General features: G+C 39.8%; 1 protein-coding gene across 1 annotated transcript; it reads left to right on the plus strand.

Moving 5' to 3' along the window:
- Nucleotides 1-5283: 5283 nt before the first annotated feature.
- OR4F6 (olfactory receptor family 4 subfamily F member 6) lies at nt 5284-8662 on the plus strand. Its single transcript, NM_001005326.2, has 2 exons — nt 5284-5320; nt 7462-8662. The coding sequence occupies exon 2, from the start codon at nt 7495-7497 to the stop codon at nt 8431-8433; it is 939 nt and encodes a 312-aa protein (NP_001005326.1). The 5' UTR covers nt 5284-5320; nt 7462-7494; the 3' UTR covers nt 8434-8662.

Raw genomic sequence — 8662 nt, forward strand, 5'->3', positions numbered from 1 at the left:
ATCCGAGACACAGTCATCCTTGTGCTAAGGTCAGCCTGTTTGCAGCAGCAAAACCCAGATCTGTGGTGATGTCAACTGCATGAATCCTGCCATTGGGTAATTTTAAAGACCTTGTGTAACTTCGAAGACCTTGCGTACTACTCCTAATGTGAGGATGAAGTTATTCTGTTCCAACTCCAGTGCTAGAATCATAATGTTGCTTCTTATGGAAAGTACAATTTAAGAACTGTGTCTTAGGTTAAATAAACAGAATCTAGGATACCTTTATAGACTATCTATGATAGGTTACTGGGTGAGCTTTTATTTTTTAACTGTCTGGAGATGGGGTAGGGAACAGAAACAGAGATAGGGATGATTGGCAGGGACCTTGGGGAAGAGACAGTGATTTGGCAGCCTTGTATGGAAACGTCCTCTTGTATTATGCCTCAGTTTTTGTTATGCCTTATGTATTCCCAGATTTCCAAAGGAGCTTAAAACTTCTCTATACTCCTCTACAACCATTTTTGATGGTGAGATTTTCTTTAGTATCCATTTCCAAGTGAAGTGCTTATCACAATTAACTATCAAATAAACTATTTGGGCAGAGCTTTCTGCTTTCCTCAAGTTACCCCTAGGGAATGGCCAGGGGAACTAACAGTAACCAAATATCTACTATACTTCAGGGCCTTCATATGTATTCTCATTAAAAACACATAAAACCTATGAGGTAGGTTTTGCTATCCCTGCTTCATAAATGAGAAAGCCTCAGCCTAGAAGTCACACACCTAGAAAGTGATTGATTTGGGGTTCAAACCAAATTCTGTCAGTTTCTTAGTCACAGCTTCTTGTTGCAAGTAACAGATATGAGAAGAGGAGACATCTTCACACAGAAGTATTTGGTGGAATTCTAGAGCAGAACCACCAGGAACTGCACCATGAATGGGAGAAGGAGAAGGAACTAAACCCACTATTTCTTCCAATGCTCGAGGTCGCGGGCCTCTCATTTGTATTTCTTTCTGTGTCCCATCCCTGTAGCTACATCACTTTAGTTTAAGGGACCAGCAGAATCTGACCAGCATTTATGAACCCCAAATTTCAAATTTCCAGGAGGGAGAATATGATTGGTTAGGTGAAGGCAGGATCCCCAGGATGCAGGGCCCTTTCTGTGGTTGAGTTATAGATCTCATCCTCTGCCACCTCTTCAGGACTTTTGCTCTTTCAGTTACTCCCTCCCCCTGCTATATTTTTAAACCATCCTTTCTTTTGGTTTGTTTATATCAGTATTCAAACATGGCCACATCTCTTCTAAGCTTGAAAACATAAAACAAATAAATATAATCTCTTTCTTGAATCCACTTTACTTCTAACGACAGATTAATCTCTGTATTAGTTTCCAAAGGCTGTCATATCAAATTAGTACGAATGTGATGACTTAAAAATATGTCGATGCCCAGTGCCATCAGCAGTGGATTGGCTAAAGAAAATGTGGTACATGTACACTGTGGGATACTATGAAGCCATGAAGGACAAAATCATGTTCTTTGCAGCAACATGGATGCAGCTGGAAGCCATTATCCTAAGTGAATGACTGCAGAAACAGAAAACCAAATACCACATGTTCTCACTTGTGAGTGGGAGCTAAACATTGTGTACACATGGTTATAAAAATGGGAACAATAAAGTTGGGTGAGGTAGCTCATGACTGTAATCCTGGCACTTTCAGAGGCCAAGGCAGGGGGAGGTCAAGAATTCGAGACCAGCCTGGCCAACATGGTGAAACCCTTCTTTACTAAAAATACAAAAATTAGCCAGGCCTAGTGGTACACACCTGTAACCCCAGCTACTCAGGAGGCAGAGGCAGGAAAATTGCTTGAACCCGGGAGGCAGAGGTTCAGTAACCCGAGATTGCACCATTGCACTACAGCCTGGGTGACAGAGTGAGTCTCTGTCACACACACACACACACACACACACACACACACACAATAGCCACTGAAGAATGCAAGAGTGGGGATGGAGAGAACAGGGTGAGGGCTGAAAAAAACTATTGGGTAGATGCTTACCTCCTGGGTGATGGATTCCTTTATACTCCAAACCTCAGCACCATGCAATATACCTGTGTAACAAACTGCACATGTACCCCCTTATTTTAAAGTAAAAGTTGAAAAAAGCAGCACAGAAGATAATATAGTCAGGCAACATATGGAAAAATGTATATGAAATTTTAGTTACTATTTGTAAACAGCAACAAAAAAAGGATATCAGCAAACCATAAAAAAGAAAACAAAAGTTGATGAATTCAGCATACATTTTGGAAGAATAGACAAGCTTTCTGTGAATTTGCTTTGGTTACAATAGAATCCTCTCTTATTAAGTGAGCCAATTGGCAAGTGAACTAATTGGGAAATAAGCTTTTTCTGAAACCCTAATGACTTCTTATGGCCGCAATTAATAAACATAGATGCCATATGTAATAGCAGACACTAACCATGCATCTGTGCTGTATAAGGCACCAGTAGGTGGAATACGCAAGATCTAAAATCAGCAGATATTGGTATGCTTTCTTCATGGGCATTCAAATTAAGAGATTTGTAAGTAAAACCTTCCTCATATTGGCAAATTCATTTTGTAGATGTAACCCTTGGCTAGTAAAGATAATAGTATTTGGAGTAAGTAAAATATTTATCTTGGCATTCAATATTTTAATAAATGACATCACATGCTAATCAACAGATGCACACTGGAATAATAACATCACACGCCAATCAACAGACGCACACTGGAATCAAGTTAAAATAATAAAATTAAGACAATCAAAACACCAGGCTGCAAGACCTGCTGAATACAAATGTGTCACACTTACACAATATTCTTCCCAGTCTCATTTCTCTGCCCTGCTTGATAAGCAGAATTTTAATCTTTTCTGGGATTCTTCTTCCCAACTGTTCTCTCTAGAGTATTAGGATGGGAGCCACTCTGTGGCACACAGCTATCTGCTTGAGCCACTGTTCATCTCTCCTGAATTGCTTATCTCTGCATAGCCTGCATGCCACTGCCTGAAACTGTAGGAATCTGGGGACTGTGTGGGGAGGGGTAGAGAGGCTGTGTTAGAGTGTGTTCATGTACATCCCTGCTCAGTTGCTGCCCATGCAGTCACCAGGACTTGCTGCTTTGTCTGGTCTATTCTGCTAGATATCTTTTGCTTTTGTAATGATTTTATTTGAGATGCATCGGACTGCCCTCCTTTGGACAACTCAAGTTCATCAAATCATTCTGTATATGTTTGATCTCATTTGTTGATGGTGAAAAGTTTCTTTCCACAGGGCCTCTAGACTTCTTTCAAGTAATGTGACTGTGCCTCTACCTCAGTGTTCTTGAACCTTCTTTGACAAGTAGGAGGCTGGACTGTCCTTGGTGGTGAAGACTCTAGAAGGTCATGTGACTTAACTGAAGTTTTGTATCGGGATATAAACTCATTAAGAAAATAACTATAAAAATTACTTATTACAAATCTGTTGAATCTAAGACAAAAGCAGGAGTGGGAGAGAGCTGATGTTCCTTTGAGTTAGTGAAAGTTGGAGTAACAGCACCTTAGAGCCCTGGATAGGATGTGTATCACGTGCCTATATAAAAAATATTTCTAAATGAAACTTAGTCAATCGATACAACTGAGAATTGTTAGCTATGGAGTATTTAGCTGATTGAAAATCATGGCTACAATATTTTGTAGCTCCTCCTGCGAAGAGGTGGAGTCTATTTCCCCACCTTCAATCTGGCCTGGCGTTATGCTTGCTTTGATGAAGGAAATATGACAAAATGTATGTTGCATGAGTTCCAGAACTTAGGCATAAGTTGCTTTGTAGCTTCTCTCTTTGCCCACCCACTCATAGCATCCTCCACCACCATGTAAGGAAGCTTGGGCAAGACTAATGAATGATAAAAGACCCTGTGAGAGAGAGGCCCAGTCTATAGCCCGCATTAGGCTTCAGACAGGTGAGTAAGGCCATCATAGACCCTCCAACCCCAGTCAAGCTGCCAGATAACTAACGTCTCATGAGAAAGCCCAGGCGAGACCAGCAGAAGAACTGCCCAGCTGAGCTTAGCCTGAATTGCAGACACATGAGCAAGTAAAATGTTATTGATTTAAGCTACTTTGTTGTGCAGCAATAGATAAGTGATATAGTATACTCTGTATAATTAGAATTTATCAGTGGCCCTTTCACTGACTCTCTGCATATTTTTGATGTAAAGAAATAAAACATAACCAGAGGTTTTCTGTTTTGTTGATTTTGTTTTATAAATAAAAAAAACTTAATCTATGAGAGGTTAAATCCATTACTGATTTTCTCTATTTCAGCTGCACTAGCATTTTGAGTCCATCCTCGTGTGCTGCTTTTATAACACCTTATTCATCTCCCCATATCACACACACAATTAAGAACTAACCAAATGTTGACTACACAACTGTACCTATTATTACCTGTAATTTAGTTATCCTTCCTAGTGGGGCATGGATCACATTTTAGATGCCACATTGGAGGCCTCTTTCCCTTCCTCTCTCCCTCCCTCCCTCCCCCCACTTCCTTCCTTCCTTCCTTCCTTCCTTCCTTCCTTCCTTCCTTCCCTCCTTCCGCAATGGTAAACTTGATTTCACCCTTTGTAAAGTATATATTTTCCTTCTTACGGAGTTTCTTCCCTCATAAATAAGGAAAACAAGCAGGTAAAAAGATAAAACAGGAGGGCGCGATGGCTCACGCCTGTAATCCCAGCACTTTGGGAGGCGGAAGCGGGTGGATCACGAGGTCAGGAGATCGAGACCATCCTGGCTAACACGGTGAAACCCCGTCTCTACTAAAAACACAAAAAATTAGCCGGGCGTGGCAGGCACCTGTAGTCCCACCTGCTCAGGAGGCTGAGGCAGGAGAATGGTGTGAACCTGGGAGGCGGAGCTTGCAGTGAGCCGAGATCGTGCCACCGCACTCCAGCCTGAGCGAAAGGGCAGACTCCGTGTCAAAAAAAAAAAAAAAAAATTCTGTAATTTTTATACACAAAAGGTCCCTAGTTTCTCCTCTTCCTTCCCTTCAAGTGACCCATTGCCAGCTTTCCCCTTTAATTGCTGTGGCCAAGGTTCCGTGGATGGCACAGAATGAATTCCCTTGGCCAAATGTACTCAGGATGGCAATCCCAGGTCTCTATAGCAACATTTCAGTAACTGTTCTGTGCTGCTAATTAGCTCCCTTTCCCCCTGTGGAGGTATTACACATGACTTTTTATGCCAAGTGATGATCATAACATCAGGGAGCTCTGCATTTTGTGATCCTCTATTTCAACACTGGTCCAGGTAGGTTAAATGGAAAGAAACTGTCTTTGATGGAGATCAGAACTTTAAATGGAAACACACAGGACAGTGAGAGGGAGAATTTAATCAACCAGGAGTCATGAATTATCTGCTATTCAACACGAAAATTGCAGCAGATTAACTAACAACTGAAATATAGAAGGCAGCAGAATGAGTAGAGTCAAGTCATGATTTCATGTTCAATATTGGAAAGGTTATTCCAGTGACATTTGCACAGACGTGTTGCGTGTGGGTCTCCAGGCAGAGAATAAAGTCGGAGTGGAAAATTTGAGTCCAGTGCAAGTAAAATGTGAGGAATTTTAGACAATGCTAAACAAACTAGTTTTGGTATGTTACGGTTTCCTGGGCCACAGACAGCACACAAAGATCATCACAAAAGAAGAAACATGATGTAGTGGAAATAACCTGTACAGAGGAAACCAAAAGTCAAACATATTCTGGATTTGCCACCAACTTGTTCTGGAGCTTTAGCCGAGTCATTTACCCTCTTTGTACCTTGGTTTTCTTAACCCTAAAATGAAAGAATTTTACAATCGTTAGCAAAGTTTCATTCAGGTCATAACAACAGACTTCTATAAGGCTTGCTGTATTGTTGATGGCAGTAGGAACAGTAATTTGGGGAGCATGCAACTCCAGTGTCCATTCCTGTCCCTCTTTTTCATATTTTAAGTGGTGTCCTGAGCCCTTTCTACCCATCTTTATCGGAGTGACTTCAAACAATGATCTACATTTAAAAAACCTTAGAATTATCATCCTCATTTGGATTGGTGATAAGCTCACATGACTTTAATTCATTTCCCATTTCTGTTGGGCAGCACAGGGCTGAGCAACCTGAGCAGAGGACAGAGTGAGTTGATCAGTAGATGATCTCTGGAGTATCTTTTTTTGTTACATTCTAGGCTTAATAGTAGGAGTGTGGGAGAGGTCTGTGCTCTGTGTTAAACACAATCATGAGCTTCAGAACACTGCAAAGGCACACTGGGATTGAGTTGCTTATCACCACTGATAATCTTTTTTCCTTTTGTAAGAGTGAGCTAAGTGGAGAGCTTAATTCTGTCTTCATGGAAAAGATCAGATTTAAACAACTATTCTGCCCTGCTTAAAAAAGTGTTCAGTGGGGACTAATACAAAGTGTGGTACATAAAGACCTTAAGTTTTAAATAGAGATAGAACATGAAAGACTGGCTGGAAGGCAGTAGTACCAACAATGAGTGGACAAACCTGTTTTCCAAATTTTTAGCAACACTAGGAATAATCTAATATAAATCTTTGCTAACCTTATATATAAAAATAAAGTGTTATTTTAAAGATAAAACAAAAGTCTTGTGTAAAAATTAAAACAGTTTTAGGAGTAAGTGGAAATTGGAGACATTGATAGAGTAACTTTCAGCTTCTAGGGAGCAATTTAGAATTTAATCATTCACTTAAATAAATTGCTTCAGTAGGAAGGTTGCTGATGATAATCAGTGTGAAAGGAACTTAAGTTATTCCAAGCTGAGTTGCCCTTTATGAATGTAAATGCCATTTATACTATTATCATGCAAAAGTCTAAAAAGGATAATTTGAAGACATGTTGAAGAAACATGATTTACAATGACCAGAAATTCAATAGTGTTCTTTGTTAGATCACTCTTAGAACACTATTAACACTATTAGTATAAAGGTTTTTGGTTTGGTTACCACAGTATAAACAAGATTTATTTCCACTTAGTGTATATAAAGGTAAGGGTATCAAAGAGGACTTCATGGAGAAAGGAATTAGACAGAGTGGGTACTGAAGAAAATGGGAAGAATTAGAGAGATGTAATGATGACAAAGGCATGTAGGCTGAGTGAAGAATGTGGAGTGAAGACATGAGCTGAAGTGTGTGTGTGTGTCTGTGTGTGTGTATAAAACAAAGGTATCCATTCAAGTAAGTAAAGGAGTTCTTATTCTGTGCAACGTATTTTCTGGTGACAAAATTTACAATAGAGGAATATGAGTTGCTTTGTGACTGAAATTGTCTCTAAAGGCATATATTAGCCCTTGTCTAGTTTTCTGACAACATATGAATTGCTCATGATTTTGCCAACATCAATGCTTTTTGTCCTAAATCAAAGTTTCTCCTTACTCTCCTCTTTCAGTTAGCATGAGAGTTGTCACAGCCGACAGAGGCAATGGATGAAGCCAATCACTCTGTGGTCTCTGAGTTTGTGTTCCTGGGACTCTCTGACTCGCGGAAGATCCAGCTCCTCCTCTTCCTCTTTTTCTCAGTGTTCTATGTGTCAAGCCTGATGGGAAATCTCCTCATTGTGCTAACTGTGACCTCTGACCCTCGTTTACAGTCCCCCATGTACTTCCTGCTGGCCAACCTTTCCATCATCAATTTGGTATTTTGTTCCTCCACAGCTCCCAAGATGATTTATGACCTTTTCAGGAAGCACAAGACCATCTCTTTTGGGGGCTGTGTAGTTCAGATCTTCTTTATCCATGCAGTTGGGGGAACTGAGATGGTGCTGCTCATAGCCATGGCTTTTGACCGATATGTGGCCATATGTAAGCCTCTCCACTACCTGACCATCATGAACCCACAAAGGTGCATTTTGTTTTTAGTCATTTCCTGGATTATAGGTATTATTCACTCAGTGATTCAGTTGGCTTTTGTTGTAGACCTGCTGTTCTGTGGCCCTAATGAATTAGATAGTTTCTTTTGTGATCTTCCTCGATTTATCAAACTGGCTTGCATAGAGACCTACACATTGGGATTCATGGTTACTGCCAATAGTGGATTTATTTCTCTGGCTTCTTTTTTAATTCTCATAATCTCTTACATCTTTATTTTGGTGACTGTTCAGAAAAAATCTTCAGGTGGTATATTCAAGGCTTTCTCTATGCTGTCAGCTCATGTCATTGTGGTGGTTTTGGTCTTTGGGCCATTAATCTTTTTCTATATTTTTCCATTTCCCACATCACATCTTGATAAATTCCTTGCCATCTTTGATGCAGTTATCACTCCCGTTTTGAATCCAGTCATCTATACTTTTAGAAATAAAGAGATGATGGTGGCAATGAGAAGACGATGCTCTCAGTTTGTGAATTACAGTAAAATCTTTTAAATATATTGAGAATATACAAAAAGGCAAATTATACTAGAATTTCAGACAGATATGTGTTAAGTAAGCTATGTTAAATTTAACCAGAATATCACTTTCTACTAGTATGTATTGTGTTGTCTTTTTTTTCTTCCCAAATTGAATTGTGGTATCAATCTCTTGCTTATATAGGAGATTTAAAGATTAAACAGTGTGGCTACTTTATTTCACCAACATTATTACCTATATATAA

The sequence above is a fragment of the Homo sapiens genome, chromosome 15 (genome assembly GCF_000001405.40).
Source record: "Homo sapiens chromosome 15, GRCh38.p14 Primary Assembly".
NCBI classification, from domain to species: domain Eukaryota; kingdom Metazoa; phylum Chordata; class Mammalia; order Primates; family Hominidae; genus Homo; species Homo sapiens.